This window comes from Homo sapiens, chromosome 3 (genome assembly GCF_000001405.40).
Source record: "Homo sapiens chromosome 3, GRCh38.p14 Primary Assembly".
In the NCBI taxonomy this organism is placed as follows: domain Eukaryota; kingdom Metazoa; phylum Chordata; class Mammalia; order Primates; family Hominidae; genus Homo; species Homo sapiens.
The window spans coordinates 48,369,518-48,394,742 of record NC_000003.12 but is presented as its reverse complement, the minus strand read 5'-3'; the positions used below and the strand labels follow the sequence as shown (position 1 = coordinate 48,394,742).

At 42.0% G+C, this 25,225-nt stretch overlaps 1 protein-coding gene and 1 pseudogene across 3 annotated transcripts; both read right to left on the bottom strand.

The window, feature by feature from the left end:
- Positions 1-17: 17 nt before the first annotated feature.
- FBXW12 (F-box and WD repeat domain containing 12) lies at positions 18-22,524 on the bottom strand. 3 transcript variants are annotated; one of them, NM_207102.2, is made up of 11 exons: positions 22,423-22,524; positions 21,886-22,059; positions 21,398-21,435; positions 21,038-21,195; positions 19,271-19,389; positions 16,217-16,426; positions 15,185-15,343; positions 13,831-14,041; positions 12,865-13,043; positions 12,658-12,788; positions 18-183 (listed from the first exon to the last, which is right to left on the bottom strand). In NM_207102.2, exons 2-11 carry the CDS (start codon positions 21,973-21,975, stop codon positions 84-86), a joined length of 1,395 nt encoding a protein of 464 aa, NP_996985.2. In that variant the 5' UTR covers positions 21,976-22,059; positions 22,423-22,524; the 3' UTR covers positions 18-83. The 3 variants fall into 3 exon arrangements, with proteins under 3 accessions (NP_996985.2, NP_001153399.1, NP_001153401.1); NM_001159927.1 differs by lacking the exon at positions 16,217-16,426 and having other exon boundaries at positions 21,886-22,086; NM_001159929.1 differs by lacking the exon at positions 21,886-22,059.
- Positions 14,611-14,909, bottom strand: RN7SL321P (RNA, 7SL, cytoplasmic 321, pseudogene; annotated as a pseudogene).
- Positions 22,525-25,225: the final 2,701 nt, after the last annotated feature.

The following is a 25,225-nucleotide window of genomic DNA, read 5'->3' as shown; positions in this document are numbered from 1 at the left end:
AAATAATCATTCTGGGCTTGCAAATAGAATTTCTTTACTACATTGCAGAAGATGATGCAAGGTCAATTTTGTTAGTTTCCATATTACGTATTCAAAGAATACATCACCAGAATGCTGGAGTCACTTACTTTCCTCACCCTAAGTACTATGCTTGCATTATCACACATCACACTGGAGATGCAGCTGTCAATGGAAAAATAAGATCATCAGTGAACAAAAGAGAAAGTAGGTACATCCATTGTTAATACTGACTTAGAACTTGACTAAGATATCAATACTTTCCAAATTAATTGGTCCTTCGTGCTCTTAGATTTGGTTTTGAATAACTACATAAAATCAGGGAAAGTTACACTGATTATTATTTGCAGGAATAGCAATCACAACCTGCTCTCAAATATTATTGCCAGAATTGTCAGTATCTGATTTGACAGATTATCTGGTTTAATGATGATTAGAGAGGTTGTTTTTTTGTTTGTTTTTGTTTTTGTTTTTCCTGAGACAGGGCCTCGCTGTGCTGCCCAGGCTGGAGTGCAGTGGCACCATGTCAGTTCACTGCAACCTCCATCTCCTGGGTTCAAATGATCCTTCCAACTTAGCCTCCCAAGTAGTTGGAACTACAGGCACGCACCACCACGCCCAGCTAATTTTTAAAAATATTATCTTGTAGGCCAGGCACGGTGGCTCACGCCTGTAATCCCAGCACTTTGGGAGGCCGAGGTGGGTGGATCACAAGGTCAGGAGATCAAGACCATCCTGGTTAACACAGTGAAACCTCGTCTCTACTAAAAATACAAAAAATTAGTCGGCGTGGTGGTGCACGCCTGTAGTCCCAGCTACTCGGGAGGCTGAGGCAGGAGAATTGCTTGAACCCGGGAGGCGGAGGTTGTAGTGAGCCGAGATCGCGCTACTGCACTCCAGGCTGGGTGACACAGCAATATTCCATCTCAAAAAAAAAAAAAAGAAAGAAAAAAAATATTTTCTCATAGAGATGGGGTCTCAGCATGTTGCCCAGGCTGGTCTCAAAGTCCTGCACTCAAGCGATCTGCCTGCCTTAGCCTTCCAAAGTGCTGGGATTACAGGCGTGAGCCATTGTGCCCAGCCCTGGATTTTTATTTTAAAATAGAATTCTGCTCCCTTTTGAGTATACCTGCTCTACTCCAATTGAATATCATAAGAGATGCCACGCTTCCCTCCCCACTGTATGATGAGGAAATGGTGGGAGCATAGCTCTGTTGTTGATTCTTGTTCTGTATTAATGAAGTGACACTTTTACCCCTCTCCACCAGAAGCCCAGGTAGGGTTAGTACCCTGTTGACCATCCCTGCCTTGCACTAACTCAAGTAAAGGTGACACTTCTCCCCCTCCCCACCAGGCCCTGAAGACACTGAGATGGAGTCCTGTCGACTATCTCCCCCGGTGCACTGACGTGAGTAGAAATGGTACCCCAGGCCAGGTGTGATGGCTCACTTCTGTAATCCCAGCACTTTGGGAGGCCAAGGCGGGTGGATTACCTGAGGTCAGGAGTTTGAGACCAGCCTGACCAACGTGGCAAAACCCAGTCTCTACTAAAAATACAAAAATTAGCTGAGCATAGTGGTGCATGCCTGTAGTCCCAGCTACTTGGGAGGCTGAGGCAGAAGAATTGCTTGAAACCGGGAGGTGGAGGTTGCAGTGAGCTGAGATCATGCCACTAGCACTCCAGCCTGGACAAGAGAGTGAGACTTTGTCTCAAAAAAAAAAAAAAAAAAAAAAAAAAGGGTACCCCTTCCTCTGCCCACAAAGCACTGCAGAGATAATAGCTGAAAACATCCCCAAATTCGTAGACCTATAGATTCAAAAAGTTAATCAAACCCAAACAGGTTAAACTCGAAGAATTTCATACCAGACATATCCTAATCAAATTTCTGAGAATTAAAAACAAAGGAAATAACTTGTACTCAACCAGAGCAAAATGACACATTATCTAGAGAGATATAGAGATTTGAACGACAATGGATTTCTCAGACATCATGGAAGTCAGAAGGAAGAGGCACAACATTTTTCAAATGCTGAAAGAAGTTAATATACCAATTAAAACAGAGTATCCCTGGTCAGCAGCATAATGTTATAAACAAACAACAAATAAAGCACACAGTGTAGAAGGACCCCAAATAGTCAAAGCCATCTTGAGCAAACCTCATTAGCACATTTGCTGGAGGCATCACATTACCAGATTTAAAAATACATCACAAAACTATAGTAATCAAAACATCATGGTTCTTGTGGGCTTTTTTTTTTTTTTTTTTTTTTTTTGAGACTGAGTGTTGCTCTGTCACCCAGGCTGGAGTGCAGTGGCACAATCTCAGCTCACTGCAAGCTCCATCTCCTGGGTTCATGCCATTCTCCTGCCTCAGCCTCCTGAGTAACTGGGACTACAGATGCCCGCCACCATGCCCAGCTAATTTTTTGTATTTTAGTAGAGATGGGGTTTCACCGTGTTAGCCAGGATGGTTTCGATCTCCTGACCTCGTGATCCGCCTGCCTTGGCCTCCCAAAGTGCTGGGATTATAGGCATGAGCCACCATGCCTGGCCGGTTCTTGTGTTTGTATCCCCAGAGACAAACCGTAAACAAACAAAAAATCCAGCATGGTACTGACATACATACAGATACATTGTCCAGTGGAATGGGATAGAAGGCCCAGAAATAAACCCTCACATTTAAGGTCAATTGATTTTTTTTTAAAACAAAAGTACCAAGAACAGTCAATGGAGAAAGGACAGTCTCTTCAATAAATGGTACTGGCAATGAAAAAGGAAAACTACAGGCTAATATCCCTGATGAACATAGACGCAAAAATCCTCAAGAAAATAGTAGCAAACTGAATCCAACAGCAAATCAAAAAGCTAATTCACCATGATCAAGTAGGCTTCATTCCTGGGAGCAAGGTTGGTTCAACACATGCAAGTCAATAAATATGATTCCCCACATAAACAGAATTAAAAACAAAAAACCATATGATCATCTCAATAGACACAGAAAAAGCTTTCAATAAAATCCAGTATCCCTTTGTGACAAAAACCCTCAAGAAACTAGGCACTGAAGGAGCATACCTCAAAATAAGAGCCATCAATGACAAATCCACAGGCAACGTCATAATGAATGGGTAAAAACTGGAAGCATTCCCTTTGAGAACTGGAACAAGACAAGGATGCCTACTCTCACCACTCCTAGTAAACATAGTAGTGACTAGTAGTGATTAGTAGTGATAGTAGTGATTGCTCTAGCTAGGAAGTCCTAGCTAGAGCAGCCAGCCAAGAGAAAGAAATAAAGGGCATCCAAATAGGAAAAGAAGTAAAACTATCTATTTGTGGACAATATGACAATATGATTGATTTTATATATATATGTGTGTGTGTGTGTGTGTGTGTGTGTGTGTGTGTGTGTATAGATAGATATAATATGTATTTTTTAAATCCCCCCAGAGAGGGTCTTGTTGTGTCACTCAGTCTGGAGTGCAGTGGCACAATCATGGCCCATTGCAGCCTCAACCTCTGGGCTCAAGTGATCTTCACATCTCAGCTTCTTGTGTAGCTGGGACCACCAGTGCACACCACCATGCCTGGCTATTTTTTTTTTTTTTTTTTTTTTTTTTTTTGTAGAGACAGGGTCTCTGTATGTTGCCCAGGCTTGTCTCGAACTCCTGGGCTCAAGTGATCATCTTGCCTCAGCCTCCCAAAGTGCTGGGAATACAGGCATGAGCCACTATGCTCCAAGACAATATGATTCTATACAAAGAAAACCCTAAAGACTCTGCCAAAATGCTCCGGGAACTGAAACCAACTTCAATAAGTTTTCAGGATACAAAAATCCATGTATAAAAATCAGTGGCATTTCCATATACTGATAATGTTTAAACTGAGGGCCAATCAAGAATGAAACCTCATTTACAACAGCACCCCACAAAATAAGTTACCTAGGAATACATCTACCCAAGGAGGTGAAAGATCTCTACAAGGAGAACTACAAAACACTGCTAGAAGCAATCATAGGCCAGATGTGGTGGCTCACGCCTGTAATCCCAGCACTTTGGGAGGCTGAGGCAGGCGGATCACTTGAGGTCAGGAGTTTGAGACCAGCCTGGCCAACATGCAAAACCCCATCTCTACTAAAAATACAAAAATTGGCCAGGTGTGGTGGCACGTGCCTGTGGTCCCAGCTACTTGGGAGGCTGACGCAGGGGGATCTTTTGAACCTGGGAGGTGGAGGTTGTAACGAGCCAAGATTGTACCACTGCACTCCAGCCTGGGCAACAGAGTAAGACTCTGCCTCAAAAAAAAAAAAAAAAAAAAAAAAAAGAGGAAATCCTAGGTGACATTAAAAAACAAATGCAAAAACATTTCATGCTCATAGAGTAGAAGAAGCAATTATCATTAAAATGGCCACACTGCCCAAAGCAATCAACAGATTCAGTGTTATTCCTATCAAACTGCCAATGTCATTTTTCACAGAACTAGAAAAAAACTATTCTAAAATTTATATGGTATCAGGAAAGATCCTGATTCCATATTAAATAGCCAAAGCAATCTGGAGGAAAAAGAAGAAAGCCAGAGACATCAATTATCTGACTTCAAACTATACTATAGGCTATAGGCTAAACAAGGCTATAATAACCAAATTAACATGGTATTGGTACAAAAACAGAATAAAGATTCAAGGAACAGAATAGAGAACCCAGAAATGAAGCCACACACCCACAGCCAACTGATCTTCAACAAAAGTTGACAAAAATAAACAATGGCGTAAAGACTCCCTATTCAATAAATGGTGCTGGGATAGCTGACTAGCCATATGTAGAAGAGTGAAAGTGGACCCCTACTTTTCACCATACACCAAAATTAACTCAAGACAGATTAAAGGTTTAGATGTAAGACCCCAAACTATAGGAGTCCTAGAAGAAAACCTAAGAAAACACTATTCTAGACATCAGTGTTGGCTTTGGGAAAGAATTTATGACTCAGTCCTCAAAAGCAATTGCAATGAAAACAAAAATCGGTAAGTGGGACCTAATTAAAAGAACTTCTGCACAGGCTGGACACGGTGGCTCACACCTGTAATCCCAACACTTCGGGAGGCTGAGGCGGACAGATCACTTGAGGTCAGGAGCTCAAGACCAGCCTGGCCAACATGGTGAAACCCTGTCTCTACTAAAAATACAATTAGCTAGGTGTGGTGACACATGCCTGTAATTCCAGCTACTTAGGAGGCTGAGGCAGGAGAATCACTTGAACCTAGGAGACAGAGGTTGCAGTGAGCCCAGATTGTGCCACTGTACTCCAGCCTACGTGACAGAGTGAGACTCCATCTCAAAAACCAAACAAAACAAAAAAAGGTTTTGCACAGCAAAAGAAACTATCAACAGAGTAAACAGACAACCTATAGAATGGTAGAAAATATTCACAAATCAAGCATCTGACAAAGGCCTAATATTCAGAACCTCTAAGGAACTTAAACAACTCAAGTAAAAAACAAACCCATTAAAAAATGGGCAAACATGGACAGCTCAATGCAGCCTTGAACTCCTGGGCTCAAGCAATCGCCTAACCTTGGCCTCTCAGAGTGGTGGGATTACAGGGATGAGCCACCATGCCTGATGATCTCACTTATACATGGAATCTAAATAAATTAGACTCGTAGATGTAGAAGATAGAATGGTGTTTACCAGAGGCCAAGCAGGGTCAGAGCAGGGGGTTAGACAGGGAACAGGGAGGTGTTGGTCAAAGGGTACAAAGTTTCAGTTCTTCAGGAGGAATAAATTCTGGTGAGCATGGTGGCTATAGTTAATAATAGCATATTGTATATTTCAGAATAGCTCAAAGAAATTTTAAATGTTTTCACCACAAATAAATGATAAATATTTGAAGTGATGGATAAGTTAATTAGCCCGATTTGATCATTTCAGCGTATACATGCAAGAAAACATCATATTGTACCCCATAAATATATACAAATATTCTTTGTCCATTAAACTTTTATACTTAAACTTAAAAGACAGATTAGCATAATGGATAAAAAGCATGACCCAACCAGATTCTATCTACAAGAAACTCACTTCAAATATAATGATATAAGTAGATTGGAAGTAAAAGAATGAAAAACAATATAACATGCAAATATTAACCAAAATAAAGCAGGAGTGGCTAAATTAGTATTAGATAAAGTAGACCTCAGGGCAAAGAAGATTACCAGGGACAAGGAGAGACATTACACAAAAACAAAAGGGCCAATTAACCTAGAAGATATATTAATCCTAAATGTGTATGCAGCAAGTTACAGAGCTGCAAAATACATGAAAACTAATAGAACAAAGAGGATAAATAATCCGTAATAGGAAATTCAACAGTCTCTCAATTGATAGAATCACTAGACTGAAAATCAGAAAGGATAGAAAAGAACTGAAGAAGATCAACCAAGGTGATCTAATTGTTACTTATAAAACATTGTGCCCAACAAGAGAAGAACACACATTCTTTTCAAGCTCACATGGAACATTCACCAAGATAGAGCATATCTTGGGTGACAAAACAGATTTTAACAACTATAAAAGAATGAAGAAAATATGGAATATGCTCTCTGGCCCTAACTGCTTTAAATTAGAAATTGATGACCAAAAAGACCACAATAAAATCTCCAATCTTGGAAATTAAACATACTTTAGAATAGTCCATGGCTCAAAGAGGAAAAGGGAAATAAGTATATGGAACTGAATGAATGAAAATCAAAATCTGAGGATTGCAGCTAAAGCAGTGTTTAATGGAGAATTTAGAACACCAAATGCTTATATTTTAAAAAGAGGTCAGAAATCAATGATCTAAACATCCACCTTAAGAGACTAATAAATGTCAGGCACAGTGACTCATGCCTGTAATCCCAGAACTTTGGGAGGCCTAGATAGGCAGATTGCTTGAGCCTGGGAATTCAAGACCAGTCTGGACAAACTGGCAAAACCCAATCTCCACAAATAAATAAATAAATTAATTAATTAAAAAATAGTCTGGCATGGTGGTACACCCCTGTAATCCAAGCTACTCTGGGAGGCTGAGGTGGGAGGATCACTTGAGCCCAGAAGGCAGAGGTTGTAGTGAGCTGACATAACACCCCATTGCACTCCAGCCTGACAGGTTGAGATTGTGTCTAAAAACAAACAAACAAACAAACTAGAAAAAATAGCAAAATAAAAGTAACCAGAAGCAAGAAAATAAAATTTAAGAGCTGACATAGACAAATTCAGAATAGCAAAATAGAGGTTGTTAAAAAAAAAAATAGAGACCAAAAGCTGTTTCTCTGAAAAAATAATTAAAATTAATAAGCCTCTAGTAAGGCTGACCAAAAAATACAAAACCAAAACCAAAACAAAAAAACACAGAAATGACACAAATTACCAGTATTACAAATTAAGGAGTTCATATTACAAATTTTACAGGCATTAAGAAGATTAAAAAACAAATCTACACACATTTGACAAGTTAGATAAAATGACTGATTGCTGGAAATTCAAACTGTAAAAACTCACCCATCATAAAATAGATAATCTGAGTTGTACTATAACTATTAAGGAATTTATAGTTAAAAGCTTTTCAAAAAAGTCATCTCCAGGCCCAGATTGTTCTACTGAAGTTTACTAAACATTTAAGGAAGAAATAACACCCTGAGGCAGGAGAATCGCTTGAACCCAGGAGGTGGAGGTTGCAGTGAGCCAAGATCATGCCATTGCACTCCAGCCTGGAGGACAAGAGCGAGACTTCGCCTAAAAAAAAAAAAAAGAAGAAGAAGAAGAAAACTACAAAATGATATCCTTCATGAACACAGAACCCAACAATCATCAAGTATTAAACTCAATTCACAATATGTAAAAAAAGTAATATAAAATGAGTAAGTGGGATTTAGTCTAGGAATGCAAGGCTGATTTAATGTTCAGAAATTCCATATATCCAATAAAATAAATGAAGAAAATCCACTTACAACAGCATCCAAAACTGAAATACTTGAGTAAATTGAACCAAGGCGGTAAAAGATGTATATACTGAAAACTATAAAACACTGATAAAAGAAAAAGAAGACATAAATAAATGGAAAGCTATCCCATATTCATGGATTGGAAGAATATTGTTAAAATGTCCATACTCCCCAAAATGATCTACAGATTCAATGCAATCCCTATCAAAATTTCAATGACCTTTTCCACAGAAATAGAAAAAGCAATCCTAAAATGACTATGGAACCACAAAAGACCCCAAATACTCAAAGCAATCTTGAGAAAGAATAAAGCTGGAGGTGGCATATTATCTGATTTCAAAACATATTATAAAGCTACAGTTATCAAAACAGCATGATATTGGCATAAAATCAGGCACAGTGACCAACAGCTCAGAATAAATGATCCCAGAAATAAACCTGCACATTTATAGTCAATTGTTTTTCAACAAAGGTGCCAGGAACACATGGAGAAAGGACATGCTCTTCAACAAATGGCACTGGGAAAACTGGATAGTCACATGAAAAGAAAAAAAGTTGGGACTTTTTCTCACATCACATACAAAACTCAAAATGGATTAAAGACTTAAATATAAAACCTGAACTACAAGAAGAAAGTGCAGGGGAAAAGCTCTGTGACATTGATCTGGGCAATGAGTTTTCGGATATGACCCCAAATGCACAGGCAACAAAAGCAAAAATAGGTAAACGGGATTGCATCAACCTAAAAAGTTTCTGCACAGGAAAGAAAGCAGATCAAAGAGACAATCTATGGAATGGGAGAAAATATTTGCAAATTATACATATAAGGGTTAATATCCAAAATATATAAGAACTCTAACTCAACAGCAAGAAAACCACCATATTAAAATGGGCAAAGGTTCTTCATTGCCAATTTTCCACAGAAAACATAAAATGGCCAACAAATATGTGAAAAAATGCTCAGCATTATGAATTATCAGGGAAATGCAAAATAAAAATGCAATGAGATACCACCTCATTAGAGGTGTTAGAATGGTCATGCTCAAAAACATGAAAGATAAACAATTGTTGGTGAGGATGTGAAGAAAAGGGAACCCATGTATGTTGTAGGTGGGAATGTAAATTAGTACAGCCATTATGGAAAACAACATGAAAGTTCCTCAAAACACTAAAAATAGGATTATCATATGATACAGCAATCCCACTCCTGGGTATACATCCAAAGGAATTGAAATTGGTGTGTTGAAGAGATGTCTGCACGCTCATTACTCCCATGTTCACTTCAGCACTATTCACAATAACTAAGATATGGAATCAACCTAAGTGTATATCAATGGATGAATGGATAAAGAAAATGTGGTATATGTGTAGATACATACACACACACACACACACACACACACACACACAATGGAATACCATTTAGCCTTAGAAAAGAAGGGAATCTTGTCACGTGCAACAGCATGGATGAATCTGGAGGTCATTATGTTCAGTGAACTAAGCCAAGCACAGAAAGACAAATACTGCATCATCTCACTTATGTGTGACATCTTAAAGAAAAAACAAAAAATCGAACTCACAGAAGCACAGAGCAGAATGGTGGTTAACAGAGGCTGGGAGAGAGGGGGAATGAAGAGATGTTGGTCAAAGGGCCCAGCATTTCCATTAGGCAGGAGGAATAAGTTTCAGAGATCTGTGGCACAGCATGGTGACTGTAGTTCATAATAGTGTATCATATTTACAAATTTGCTGAGAGTAGATTTTAAGTATTTTTTACCACAAAAGTAAGTGTATGAAGTGATTGATATATTAGCTTGATTTAATCATTCTACAATATATACATCTATGAAATCACATTGTACCCCATAAATATATAATTATTTGTTAATTAAAAACTAATAAGATACTCTGTCCTGACCACTAACAAAAAAGAAAATCAATATAATTCACCTTACTAAGAACCTAAAAAAGAAAAACTATATGCTTATATCAATTTATACAGAAAATGTCTTTGAGAAAATTCAACATCTATTCATGACAACAAAAACCTCTCAGCCATCTAGGACTAGAAGAGAACATTTTCAACCCAGTAAGGGGCATCTACAAAAACATACAGTGAATATAATAATAATGGTGAAAGACCAAACACTTTTCATCCAATGGAAGGATGTCGGCTCTCCACTCCAGTGCCACACAGGAGGTTATAGCCAATGCAAAAAGGGAAGAACAACAAGGCATACATTTGAAAAGAAAGAAAACTGTTTGACAGACGACATGATTGTCTACATAGAGAAAGCACAAAGTATCTACCAATCTATGAATAAAAGCTATTAGAATGAATGAGTTTAGCAAGGTTGCGGGATACAAGGTCAATATACAAAAGTCAGTCGTATTTCTATATACTAGTAATGAAAAATGGAAATTGAAATAAGACAGTACTCTTTATAATAGCACCAAAACCACGAAATATTTAGGTATAAATTTTACAAATATGTGCAAAATATTTATCCTAAAAACTACAAAAACACTGATAAAATAAAGATGGCCTAAAACAGTAAGAGACATTCAGGTTCATGTACTGAAAGAGCCAAAATAGTAAAGATGCCAATTCCCCTAATTAATCTCTACATCTAAACAAATTCCAATATAAATCTCAGAATTTTTGTAAAAATTTACAAACCAATTCTAAAATTCACTTGGAAAACAAGGGAACCAGAATAGTCTGAATAATTTTGTAAAAGAACAAGTTAGAGGACTCACATTATCTGATTTCAAAGTCTCTATAAAGTTACATTTTCAATGTAGTGTGTTATTTGATAAGAGATACATATATAGATGATTGGAACAAAAGAGAAAGTCTCAAAACTAACCCATGTAAATATGGTTGATTTTGGACAAAGGTACACAGGCAATTCAACGGAGTAAGGAGTTTTTTCAACAAATGGTGCTGAATCACTGAATATTCATATACAAAAAAATACATCTTGATCTTTATCTTTCCCTTACAAAATTTAACTCAAAATACATCAGAGACCTAAATGTAAAACCCTAAACTGTAAAACTTTTAGAGGAAATCTTAGAACATCTCTGTGATCTTGGGTTAGGCAAAGATTTCATAGATACAATCCCCCAAGCCCAGTCATTTTAGAAGAAAAATTGTACTTCAAAGTTAACCCTTGCTCTTTGAAAGACACTGTGAAGAGAATAGAAAGACAAACCAGAGTGGGAGAAAATATTTGCAAACCCTTATCTGATAAAAGACGTGTATTCCAAATATATAAAGGACTATCAAAACTCGATATTAAGAAACTCAATATTAACAACCCAATTAAAAAATGGTCAAAAGATTTGAAAAAATGTGTTAAAGAAGATAATGTGGATGGCAAATAAATTGCTCAATGTTATTGGGAAAAGGCACAATAAATATCACAATGAGGTATCACTATACATCCATTCAAATGTAAGAAAGAAAAAAAATCCAGGGGAAGTATTTGAAATTATTGAAAGGAAATAAGTATTTATGATTGGTGTAGGCTAAAATTTATTAGATATGATATACAGAGCAAAAACCATGAAAGTCTGCTAAGCATGCTTATAGATATTTAAAGTATTTTTGCCTCAAAACACTGGAAATCATTATCTGAACATAGACATTTTCCTATTCTTGTAAAAAAGTTAATAACAGCTGCCTGATACTTCCTTGTGTGGATATACGATGGTAATTTAAACAATCTCTTATGTTTGGACACTTAGGGAGCTTCCAGCTCTTGACTATCACAAATGCTGTAATGAACAGCCAATGTACTTGAATGATTGGAGGTATAGCTTCACAGTAAATTCTTTTTAGTGGTGTTGGCAGTGCAAAGGATATATGTATTTTCTTAGATGTTGCCAAAAAAGCACTATAAGCAGTATAATGACTAGCAATAATCTGGAAGAAAATGTGTGCAAAGCCTTAAGAGACAAGACTTCTACGTGTACTACGTAAAATCTCAAGAAAAACAATTTAAAGGCAAGCAAACCAGGGGCAAAAATCAGCAAAATGGAGGGAAAGGCAGCTCACTGAAGCAGCAAGCAAGTGGCTAATGAACTCACAAAAGGTACAACTCAGCAAGAAAACACAGGGTATTGGGACATAATCTATCCACTGCTCATGGGAATATAAATTGAGAGCCACTTTGGGAAGACTTAACATCTATTGCAAGTCCCATGACTTCAAGAACTAGCGATTCTCTTTTCAGGCATGAGTTTATTGATATCTATCCTCAGAGAACCTTAAAAAAAAAAACCCCTGTTTTCCCTTCATTCATCTTGATGTAGAAATTAGAAGTTTTCGGCAGGGTGCGGTGGCTCACGCCTGTAATCCAGCACTTTGGGAGGCCAAGGCGGGCGGATCACGAGACCAGGAGATCGAGACCATCCTGGCCAACATGGGGAAACCCAGTCTCTACTAAAAATACAAAAATTAGCCAGGTGTGGTGGCACATGCCTGTAATCCCAGCTACTTGGGAGGCTGAAGCAGGAGAATTGCTAGAACCCGGGAGTCGGAGGTTGCAGTGAGTTGAGATCACGCCACTGCACTACAGCCTGGTGACATAGGGAGACTCCGTCTCAAAAAAAAAAAGTTGTTTAGGGGATGTTTACATCACAAAACAGAGCTTACCTGTCTGTTGTGTGATCATGCCACGTGTTTTCCAGGTGACAGCAGCTCCTGAGGTATGGATGGCGGCCTCCTTCTTCCCACATGTACACGTGCACAGAGTTCTCGGATGTGGTGAGCACATAGCAAGGATCCTTCCAAGGATAGCCAGAGTGAGTGGCCAAGGAGTCAAAGTCAGATCAAAAAGCAGTGGAGGAGAATCATACATACCACCCAGAAGTTGTTGATGGCTGCCTGATGGTCCTCAAATCGTTGCAGCAGGAAGCCAGTGATGCTGAAGAGTAACAAGTATGGTCCACTGGTAAAGACAATCATATATCCATCACTGGCTCCCATCCAGATAGGGCACTTCAGATGAGCTGCCACCTGGAAACTTGCGATCTCATATGCTGTTTTCATGTAAAACGCACATATATATACACACACACATAAGGAAGTAAAGATCAGGTCATTGAATAATAATATCCTCACACTGAATAAAAAAGCATAGTCCCCACTTCCACAGACTTCATTCCGGGGAAGAAAATGAAGGGTAGTCCAGTGGCCTGACAAATACATATCACTGACTGTGGTAACAGGTGCTAGGACACAGGAACAGAGGTTTGTGGACAATAAACAATCCCCTGGGCATTGGAACCCAGGCCCTAAAATATGATGGAAATCTATATGTGTTCGCCCAAGAGAGCAGGGTGGGGGTAGAGATCAGCATGGGTATTAGAGTCGAACTGGGATGGGTTCACCCCCAGCTAAAGAAATCCCCTGCTCCTGGCCGGGTGCGATGGCTCACTCCTGTAATCCCAGCACTTTGGGAGGCCGAGGCAGGCGGATCATGAGGTCAGGAGATTGAGACCATCCTGGCTAACAGGGTGAAACCCTGTCTCTACTAAAAATACAAAAAATTAGCCGGGTATGGTGGCGGGCACCTGTAGTCCCAGCTACTCGGGAGGCTGAGGCGGGAGAATGTCGTGAACCCAGGAGGTGGAGCTTGCAGTGAGCCGAGATTGTGCCGCTGCACTCCAGCCTGGGCAACAGAGCAAGACTCCGTCTCAAAAAAAAAAAAAAAAAACTAGAAATCCCCTGCTCACTTTATACAGGCTGACCCATTTATTAGAGCTAAACACGAATGACTGTGTGATGAGGAAGAGAAACAAGCGTTTCTAATGTGGCACAGCCTACCTTGGATGACTGTTTGGCCTCCAGTCTTCTTGGTTGTTAGATCAAAGGTGATAAATTCTGTCTTTTTTCCAGTGCTACTTTGGGACATCAGTGTTATCCTGTTTTTCACCTTTGGGGTCCAGCAGGCGCTGGCACATAATTTATGTGGGAGAAAGGTAGACAGAGGAACACTGCCTTCTGATGGTCTCAGTAAGGACTCTGTGAGGAATACCTAAAGAGAGCATCGCATGCATGGTCAGGGGCAGGGAACTTATAGCCTCTCAGTACAGGAGTGACTCCAGAAGAGCCTTCTTAGAAATTCTCATCTTGTGGCCAAAGCTTTGTTCAATATCTCAGGAGTGATGAGTGGTCACTGCTTATCACTCCAGCATAAAAGGAACTCACTGTCTTCCTATTCTTCCTGTCCCATTCACAGAACAATGTCCCTGAAGCATGCTAAGGTGTTATGAAACCATCTTGCCATGTTGAACCCTTGGTCAAGTTGAGGTTGGCTAAGCAGATTTTCCCTTCTTGGGGAACAAGTCAAGGGCTGTGTGGCTTTTACTACCTGCCTTCTGAACTCCTCCCTCTTTGGTGCCCAGTCCACCAGTGCCCCACTACAAATGGCCTGCTCAAAGGCCAAAGCCTTCCTCAGAGTGATATTCAGAGGCTGTTGCATATTCAGTTACTTTTGGACTTCTCTACACTTTGCAGCCAACATAGATAAAAGTAAAGAAGGCAAAAGAGAACAAGGACAAAGATATTTTTGTAAAAAAAAAAAAAAATTTTTTTTTTTTTTTAAGAGGTAGGGTCTCGCCATGTTGCCCAGGCTGGAGTGCAGTGACTATTCACAGGTGCATTCCCACTACTGATCAGTATGGGAGTTTTGACCTTTTCTGTTTCTGACCTGGGCCAGTTGGCCCCTCCTTAGGCAACCTGGTGGTCCCCTGCTCCCAGGAGGTGAACGTATTGATGCCAGACTTGGTGTGGACACCCTATCAGCATAGCACACTATGGCCTGGAACTCCTGGGCTCACGTGATCCTCCCGCCTCAGCCTTCTGAGTAAGTGGGACTATAGGTGCATGCCACCATGCCCAGCAATCCCTATTTCTTGATACCTGTCTCACCCTCTTCCATCTCTTTGGCAAATTCGGGCTTCATGAACGAGTTTTTGTTAAACATTTGCCACAGCAACTGGATGTTGTTACTTCAAAGAGCATTGTTTCCTGACCATCACAATGGATTCCCCTTGTGATGTGGTCTTAGAGAGGAAGGAGCAGTGTGCCTGGTCCTCACTGAGCTCTGCAGTTTCTCTGCATGCTTCCTAACTTGACATTCCTATCCTGAAATTGAAATACACAGAACAGCACCTACCTGTGGCAAGGTACGACTGTATGTCCCACATGCAAATACCCATTTCTTGTCAGGAGAGCAGTGTAGAAGTACAATACCATATTGAAATGCAGTAACTTTAGAAACATCTCTTAACCCAGGCAGTGTAAATGTGTAGATGTCACCTGCAGCATCGCCAACCTGAAACCAAAGCATCCCCACCATATCAATAGGAAGATATGTGAAATCCTGAAGTACAGAGGAGGCAGCACTATGAGCTGCAAGATATGCCACTGTTTCTTCAATCACATAATGGAGATCAAAACCTCTGACCAGTCTAGCTTGAGACACTGTTGGGATAATCCCATGGAATAAAACTTTCCAAGCCCCAAAGCATTCTTCTCAAGGACAGTTATTCATTAGCACATCAACACTATGCTTTTTCTCAATGTCACCCCAAAGCCATCTCTTCTCCCTCAACTGTCCCCAACCAAGTTCATGGACTGGACAATAACACCACTTGAAAGAAAAGGCACATATAAAGTAATTCAGGAAGTTTTTGGCTTTTTGTCTTTAGAAGAATTGCTGGGGAAATGTACTTGAGGCAAGTCAAGGGGCAAGATAGTGTGGAGGTTTGTATAACATTCATTGATATACTGTGATTGACTCGCAGGGTATGTGGAAGGGATGACAAGAGAAATAGGCCAGGCGCTGTGGCTTATGCCTGTAATCCCAGCACTTTGGGGGGCTGAGGTGGGCAGATCACGAGGTCAGGAGTTCAAGACCAGCCTGGTCAGTTTCTACTAAAAATACAAAAAATTAGCCAGGCATGGTGGTGTGTGCCTGTAGTCTCAGCGACTCAGGAGGCTGAGGCAGGAGAATTGCTTGAACCCAGCAGGCAGAGGTTGCAGTGAGCCAAGATTGCACCACTGCACTCCAGCCTGAGCAACAGAGTGAGACTCTGTCTCCAAAAAAAAAAAAAAAAAAGGGATAGGACAGTAATGTGACACGGATGCCTGACAAGACAACAGGCATTTGATTTTTTGGTCCCCTCTAAATTCAGGGCTCACTTACCATCAGGAATGGGCCATCCTTTGTAAGATAGGCTTCCATGCAATAACAGGGCTGTGGCATGGGGAGAACAGCCAGAGCGTCCCTGTCCTGACAGTTCCACACTTTGATAGTTTTTTTCCGATCCATAGTGATGGCGAGATGCATCTGAGGGAGGGTTACCAGATTTGAGAAATGGAACTCCTGGACTGGGCTTGACCAGATCATGGTACCCTAGAAAACGAGAGTAACACGACCTGTGTTCAAGGAACCCTTACACCTACTGTGCTTTCATTCTGCCCATGTTTATTTGGAAGCCTCTTCCAAATCAGATCTTCTTGCTTCTGGGCAGAGGATATGAAAGTTCTCCACATCTCAATATTTTGGAGGAGTGAACATGAAAACAGGAACTACACATTATGCTCCGAGACAAGAACTTGGTACATAACAGGCGCAAAGAATGATCAGACTTCATAGGTTCAAATCACCTCTGCCTCCTACTCACAGTGCAGCCTTCAGCAAGTCACTTTCTATCATGCCTTCTAATGAGGCTGTCATTACCTTTCACATCTCATGAAACATACTTAGAATTCTGCCTAGGACACAGTAGGAACCCAAAATGTATTAACTATCATTAAAATTGTTATTCAACCTTGTACATTACATACAAGATAGAATAGTTGTCTTTCTAGATGATTCTTTAGCCTTTAAAAAAATTGTAAAGTATATCATATAAGAAAAGAGCACGAAGTTTAATAAATTATCACAAGTGATTACCAATGTACCACTTCTAAGCCCTCCTGAAGTCCCCTTTGCATGTGCTCTATTTAACAACTCCCCCATGGCTCTCCGCACCCAAATGTAATCATTATTTTGATTTTTCACACTATAACAAGTTGCCTATGCAGTAATATCTAAGGCCATGTAACCAAGCATCCCAAAATTTAGTGGCTTAAAACAGGCTTTTGCTAACTCTGTTTCTTTTGATCAGAAATTCAGGGGTAGCTTGACTGGGTAGTTCTGGCTGTAGGTCTCTCATGAGGGTGAAGTCAAGTTTCACTTCCAAGATGGCCTCTCATATAGCTGTGTAAGTTGGTGTTGGCTACTGGCAGGGGTCCTCAGTCCCTCACCACACAGATCTTTCTGGAGGGCTGCTTGAGAGCTCTCATAACACTGTGGCTGGATCTCCAAGAGCTGATGACCCATGAGTGAAGAATTGTCTTCTGTGACATAGCTTCAGAAATTATACACCATAATTTCCACAATATCCTATTGGTTGCACAGGTCAGCCCTATTGACTGTGGCAGTGGACTACACAAGATTGATCGTGATTATCATGGGGCAAAAATATTTGGGCCATCTCAGAGATTGGCAGCTGTAGTCTGCCCCACAGCCTCCAGTGATTCAGTTTCCCCCTACATGAAAATATATCCACCATCTCCCAATGCTCTCAAATGTCTCATACCATTGTAGTATCATTGCAGAATCTAGGCTCTCATTGTTTCTAGGTCCAGGTATAGATGAAGCTCTTTAGATTCAATTTATCTTGACGTGAAAATCTTCAAACTAAATATACAAGTTATCTGTCCCTCACTATCCCCAAAGTACAAGTGTGGGGTAAGCGCAGGATAACATAGTCACTGTTATTCAGAAAAGGTGAAAATGGAAAAATAGGAATCACTGCTACAAGAAATTTTGAAATCCAATAGAAAACATGCTGGCAATTTGTCAATTAGGACTCAAGGCCCAAGAAAGATCTTTAATGACTCTTGGTTCTACTCTCTAGGCTCTTGATTCTGTCTGGGTCATCCTTCGCTTTCTCTATGCGGTGGCCCAATTTTTTAGCTAAATTGTTTTTGGTAGTCTGCTTCCTGCCTGTAAAAGTTTTGAAATCCAAAAGGCCTCTTTTCCTTTTGTGTGTTTTGGCCCCTTTAAATCCAAGCTGACAGTGTTTCTCTCAGTGTAATTCTCTTCAACAAAAACTTTATGGGTCTCCTAAGAACCTCACTGCAGTTTATACCATTAGACAAAAGCCACACTCAGTTTTGAGATAAATCCTTTGCACGCCTTGGAGATCATCTGAGCTAGAGACCACTTTCTGAAAAAGCCAATATAACAAATGCCAATCATTGACAAAGAGGCAATAGAACAGGTAATAAAGATGCAGAAAGCCCAAAAATTATTTCATAAATGCATTCCATGTTATTGGTAGAAAATAAGACCTTATACAAATTTATATATAGAAACACATATTAAAAAGTAAATTCTCAGCCAAGTGCAGTGGCTCATGCTTGTAATCCCAGCACTTTGGGAGGCTGAGGCTGGCAGATCACTTGAGGCCAGAAGTTCAAGAACAGCCTGGCCAACATGGCGAAACCCCGTCTCTACTAAAAATACAAAAATTAGCTGGGCATCGTGGCGCGCGCCTGTAATCTCAGCTACTCAGGAGGCTGAGGCACGAGAATCGCTTGAACTCGGGAGGCGGAGGTTGCAGTGAGCTGAGATCGCGCCACTACACTCCAGCCTGGGCAACACAGTGAGACTGTCTCAAAAAAAAAAAAAAAAAAAAAAAAAAAGGCCGGGCGCAGTGGCTCACGCCTGTAATCTCAGCACTTTGGAAGCCCAAGGTAGGCGGATCACAAGGTCAGGAGATCGAGACCATCCTGGCTAACATGGTGAAACCCTGTCTGTACTAAAAATACAAAAAAATTAGCCAGGCGTGGTGGCGGGCGCCTGTAGTCCCAGCTACTTGGGAAGCTGAAGCAGGAGAATGGCGTGAACCCTGGAGGCGGAGCTTGCAGTGAGCCGAGATCCTGCCACTGCACTCCAGCCTGGGGAACAGAGCGAGACTCAGTCTCAAAAAACAAACAAACAAAAATAACAACAACAACAAAAGTGAATTCTATGTGTGTCTATGGTCCAAATGAAAAGGTCACAAATTACATGATAGAAAACCTGATTTGACACTTTGTTTTTGTTACCACTTCCGAATATTTTCCTCTCAGCACTTCCGTTTCATATATAGAACAGGATGGATGCAAATATGCAGTACTTTTGCCACATATTGGCCAGACTCACCTCTTGCACATCCCAGGCACAAAGCTCTTGCTTTGGAGATACACTACAAATGATTGATTTCTCCTGTTCATCCACTGTAAGTCTATTTCCTGAGAGATAAGCCAACTCCGTCTCAAATGCTAGAAGGAAACATAGAAGACTTGGCCACCAGATAGTTAAGGGATGATCCAAACCAAAAGAAGATAATTTAAAATATTTCTGTACCCTCTTAGGAAGGTTTGGGTAACAATATGGAGAAGATAGAAATTGGGCTCCAGAGTCATCCAAACACAGGTTCCCACGGCAGACTGGCCATTTGGGAGATGTTGGCCAACTTGCTTTTCCTTTTTATCCTCAGTTTCCATAGATATAAAAGGCATATTAAAATCTCTCCATCAGAGAACTTTTCTGAGTTTTAAAAGAGTTATCAAGTCCAGGCACAGTGGTTCACGCCTGTAATCCCAGCACTTTGGGAAGCTGAGGTAGGTGGATCACTTGAGGCCAGGAGTTCTAGACCGGCCTGGCCAACATGCTAAACCTGTCTCTACTAAAAATACAAAAATTAGCATGTTGGCAGGTGCCTGTAATCCCAACTACTTGGGAGGCTGAGGCATGAGAATTGCTTGAACCCAGGAGGCGGAGGTTGCAGTAAGCCAAGATCATGCTGCTGCACTCCAGCCTCGGAGACAAAATGAGACTCTGTTTTTAAAAAAAAAAAAAAAAAAAAAAGTGTTATCAGGATTAGGCCAGGTACAGTGGCTCACGCCTGTGAGGCCGAGGTGGGAGGATCGCTTGAGTTCAGGAGTTCAAGACCAGCCTGGGTAACAAAGTGAGACCTAATCTCTACAAAAAAATTTAAAAAATATGGTCGGGTATGGTGGCTTATGCCCGGAATCCCAGCAATTTGGGAGGCCAAGGCAGGTGGATCACTTGAGGTCAGGAGTTCAAGACCAGCCTGGCTAATATGGTGAAACCCCATCTGTACTAAAAACACAAAAATTAGTTGGGCATGGTGGTAAATGCCTGTAATCCCAGCTACTCAGGGGGCTAAGGCAGGAGAATCACTCGAACCCAGGAGACAGAGGCTGCAGTGAGCCGAGATCGTGCCATTGCACTCCAGCCTAGATGACAGAGCAAGACTCAACCTCAAAAAAAAAAAAAAAATCAACTGGTTGTGGTGGTGTACCCCTGTAGTCCCAGTTACACAGGAGGCTGAGGCAGGAAGATCTCTTGAGCCCAGGAGGTTGAGGCTGCAGCTGTAGAGCCTATGTATGCATTTATTTAGAGACAGGGTCTGGCCCTGTCACCCAGGCTAATTTTTTAAATTTTTTCATAGAGATGGAGGGGGGGTCTCACTTTGTTGGCCAGGCTGGTCTTGAACTCGTGGGCTCAAGTGATCTGCCCACCTCGGCCTTTCAAAGTTCTGGGATTACAGGCATGAGCCACTGTGCCCAGCCAAGCCTCTGTTTTTTAGAGTTTCCCATTAATTTTTTTTTTCTGATTTTTATTCTGGGAGGGATGAGAAGCCTTAGGAAAAAGGGAGTAACAGGACCTGATTTTATGTTGTGAAAAAAAATCACTCTAGTTTCTTCATTCAGCACAGATGGTGGGGACAAGAGAGGAAGCAGGGAGATATCACATGGCTATCACGGCAACCCAGTCTGGTTCAATTTTAATTCCTTTTCCCTTTACTGAATGAGAATACACAACTGCACACAGCAAAAATCAAATAGAGTGGACCTCTGAAAACAAGCTGCTCATGTTCCTCTAGGGCACCTATACCCATACCGATGTTCTTAGTTACTTTGTAGATAAAGTTATGCGGCTGTGCCAATGCCAACCGAAGCTCCTTCCTTCTTTGATGCAGGAAAAATTGCTTCCATGTGTGTGTGCCCAGGTGTTGATTGGTGAAGTTGCTGCAGTCCCATCTCTGCAGAGATAGTGACCTGGAAACAGAGTCACAGTCCCATCAGGCTGTTCTCAGTCAGTTCACCTCCTCAGAGCCCCGGTTATATCACAACCCCCTACTCACACTAACTTTCCTGTGTATATCTCACAACACAGCCACACAGGCCTTGGGACACAGCATGGGTGCGCAGTCAGATGATCTCCTCTCCCCTTCCCTCCTTGCCCTTTCCCTTCCCTTACCTCCACAGGTAATCACTGTCTGCAATCCTATTCCAATGCTATGGGAGAGAAAGGAAGAGACAAGCAGGCAATCAGTTACATCAGAGAGCAAGGGTAATCCTCTGCTATTATTTGTTCTGGGAGCTGGGCCCGCACAGGTTAATCAGATGGGATTCCAGCTCTCAAAGCACTCTCAGTGTGGGGAGATAAGGAAATGGTAACAACAGAGACCTATCACTGCTAATACAGGCACTGGGTATTCCCATGAATTCACAGGAAGAAGTGTTGATTTCCTAGGGCTTGAAATGGGAGCCTCAAGGACTGTTTAGTCAGCACAACTCCTGGATATCAGCTTGTCCTTTTCGTTTAACAGAATATGAGGCCCTCAGTATGAAGAATGCTAACCCCCAAAGCCTCAGTGTAACCCTCTGCTATTCTGCAAAGTGGTGCTCAAACTGGTCGAGAGAAGCAGCGGGCTTGGGGGGCAGTGGGAGGTGGAAGGCCTTTACCTTGTTCACCTGGGAAACCTGCAGCAAGCCGAACAGGTCCAGGAAAGAGAAGATTCGCTTCAAAGCTAAGTCAGGCAATCGGATCTCCATTTCATGCGGCCTGAACCCACATCCACTTTCCTTTCTCCTCTCCGGGCTGCTCTGAATTTATAGGCTTTGCCAAAGTCTGCAGCACTTGTAAAGATTTTCACCCATGCCCATCTGTGTGCGGTAGAAACAAGCTGCAGGTGTGCAGACTCCCGGGCTGACCTCCACCCCGGCCTCTCCCCTGGGGCCTGATCCACACAGCTGGCAGGCATCCCTACCTAAACCCACTTGTTAGTGCTGTTCATTGTTTAGAGGAGCTCAGCAACACCTGTGCGCTGTGAGCTGGAGGTGCAGAACCTGGGGCAGCCCCAGTTGCAGATGAAGTTGTCAGAACCCTTTAGGAAATGTCACCGAGTGCACTCACTTTGATCAGATCTGAGTGTCTCTATGACTCTATTTAAGTTCCAAACTCCTGGAATTGGAGTCTGCTTGCCCTGTGTCTGTGCCTACCTTGGGATCTTGAATCTGGTGAGTGGGGCTCATCTCTCAGCGCCAGCATGGCCTCTGGGTTTCTACCTTCTCGCATTTAACTTTGCAGTGGAGGAGAAAGAACGTGCCAAGCTGGCTTCTCCACAGAGGTCCGCCCAAAGGGAGCAGGCCTTGTCTGGGATGGCTCTCCCAGCTGGTGGCTTTCCCTGGGATGTGACGCTTTCCCACAGTTACAGATCTCCCAAGAACCTGACAACTCATTCTGGGATTTTCTAAAGACCGTGTCATAGCCTGGGTGTTTGTGTCCTCTCAAAATTCCTACGTTGAAATTCTAACCCTTGGTGTGATTGGAGGTGGGGGGCCTTTGGGAGGTAAGTGGGTCACAGGCAGAGTCCTTATGATGGGACCAGTGACCTTATAAAAGAGACCCCAGAACGCTCTCTAGCCCTGTTCATATCATGCGAGGACATGAGAAGGTGTCAGCTGCAACCTGGAAGAAGGCCCACACCAGAACCTGACCGTGCTGACAGGTGACTCTTGGACTTCTCTCCTCCAAAATTGTGAGAAATAAATTTGTTTGTAAGCCACCCAGTCTATGGTACTTTGCTGCAGCATAAGACAGGGGTCCCTCTGTGAGGCTCAGTGGCCAACCCTTCTTAAAACTGCTGCCTCCAGGCAGACACACGGGAGTGGTTGTCGGGAGTCCCATTTATGATACAGTAGTAAGAGAGAGGAAAAATACAAATTGACATGGTGAGGAAATAAAAAGGAAAAGCAAAGACCAAGAAGCACCTAGAGGGGCGTGGGGAAAGGCGAGTCAAGGGGTGTGTGGAGAGGAGTGAGAAAAATACAAGGGTAAAAGATTTGTATTCCATAAATAGGAAATAATGCAGAGAGAGCCAGAGCCGTGGAAGGACACAGGAAGACAGAAAGCTTGGAACGGACTCTATTGTAGAGGAACAGAATTAATGCAAAGATATAGAAGGCTGAGAAATAAAACACTTTAAAATATGACAAGGGAAGAGAAGAAACAGTAAAATAAAGGATATTTTAAAAGTATTAAAGCACAAATATTATAAAATACACAGATAGGAAATATAACTGTAAGTGGACTGAGACAGAGTAGGAATAAAATGGAAAAGAGGACAGATGAGAAAGAGGCAAACATAAGGAAACTGAAGCAAATTGCCGAATGAGTGAATGAATGAATTTGAAATAGAGGAACAGAGGCCAGGCACAGTGGCTCATGCCCGTAATCCCAGCACTTGGGGAGGCCGAGGCGGGTGGATCACCAGGTCAGGAGTTTGAGACCAGCTTGGCCAACATAGTGAAACCCTGTCTCTACTAAAAATACAACAAATTAGCTGGGCGTGGTGGCGGGTGCCTGTAATCCCAGCTACTTGGGAGGCTGAGGCAGGAGAATTGCTTGAAGCTGGGAGGTGGAGGTTGCAGTGAGCTGAGATTGCGCTACTGCACTCCAGCCTGGGCGACAGTGCGAGACTCCATCTCAACAACAACAACAAAAAAAATAGAGGAACAGGAAGGTGTGTTGGGGGGTGGTGGTGGCGGGGTGCTACCAGAAAAGCGGCAGAGAAAGACACATTGCAACAATAGATGAAGACAAATCTAAATGTCACAAGAGTTAAGAGATGTAAAATTTGAGAGATGTGAAATGGTAACTGCGTAATAGTCTAAGCAAAAGATAAGATGCAGGTGAGAGAATGGTCCGGACATTGTCTAGGAGAAAGTAGATTAAAGCAGGCAGCTGGGGAAACCTGAGAAGAGGGATCCATAAGGAGTTGGGCAGCCTGAGAGTAGGACAGAGAGGGAGGGACGACACAGCATGGGAAGTAAAGGGGGCGTAGCAAGGGGAGAAGTAACAGCACACCTTTCATGGCGCCTTCTGCAGGCAAGGCACCCGTCTAAACAATTTACAGGGGCTCATCTATTTAATCCTCACAACGGCTAGATGAGGTAAGTCCTATTACTGGCCACCTTGCCAGGGTGCTCCGTGTTCTCTTAGATTCTGAATTTGTCTGGCATCCATCACAGGGCCAGTTGTATTCTCTGTATATTTTTAATTTTCTGTATTCTTGATGCTCTGGCATTTGTGATCTTGCTGACTGGGGAGAGACTCTCCTTCCCAGGCCTAGCCAGATAGCAAAGGAGAGTGCCTTTTATGCAAACGAACCAAGCTACAGCCCACACCCACAATCATCTCCTTTACCAAACTCTCACACAGCAAGTTAATATTCCTCCTGCCCTAAATCAACCCAGGGCCAGGTACCAGACAACTGGAGACGGCCCCTATGCCTCAAAGCCAGCCAGAACCATTTAAACTAGCCCATTCTAAAAGGCTTACCCTGTTCTGCCCTCTTCGTTTCTTACAGAAAACACAATAAAGGCTCAGGCCTATGCTGCCCCGCCCCTTCTGCCTCCTGACTGCCCTTGGTGCTCTCCATGTGGCCCTGCGTGGGGAGCCAGGCCTCTTGTTTATAGGGATCTGTGAGTATAAACTTCTTCCTTCATGACAATCATTGCTGTGTCTGCACGCTTTGCCACACCTGATTAAAACCAATCCCAGGCACCAGTTTTAGAACACATAGGTGGGAGCCAACACATACAGAGGTTAGGTGACTTGCCCACAGTGACACCCCTGGGAAATGGCACCGGGTTTGAACCCCAGCAGTCAGCCCCAGAGCCAGTGCTCTTAGCTGTTATGCTCTAATGGCTCAAAGAGAAGAGGGAATTGGGAAAACTTGGAATGATTAGGAGAAGAATGAAAGTGGATATATTTTTAGCCTTGAGTTTAAAATGCTAAACA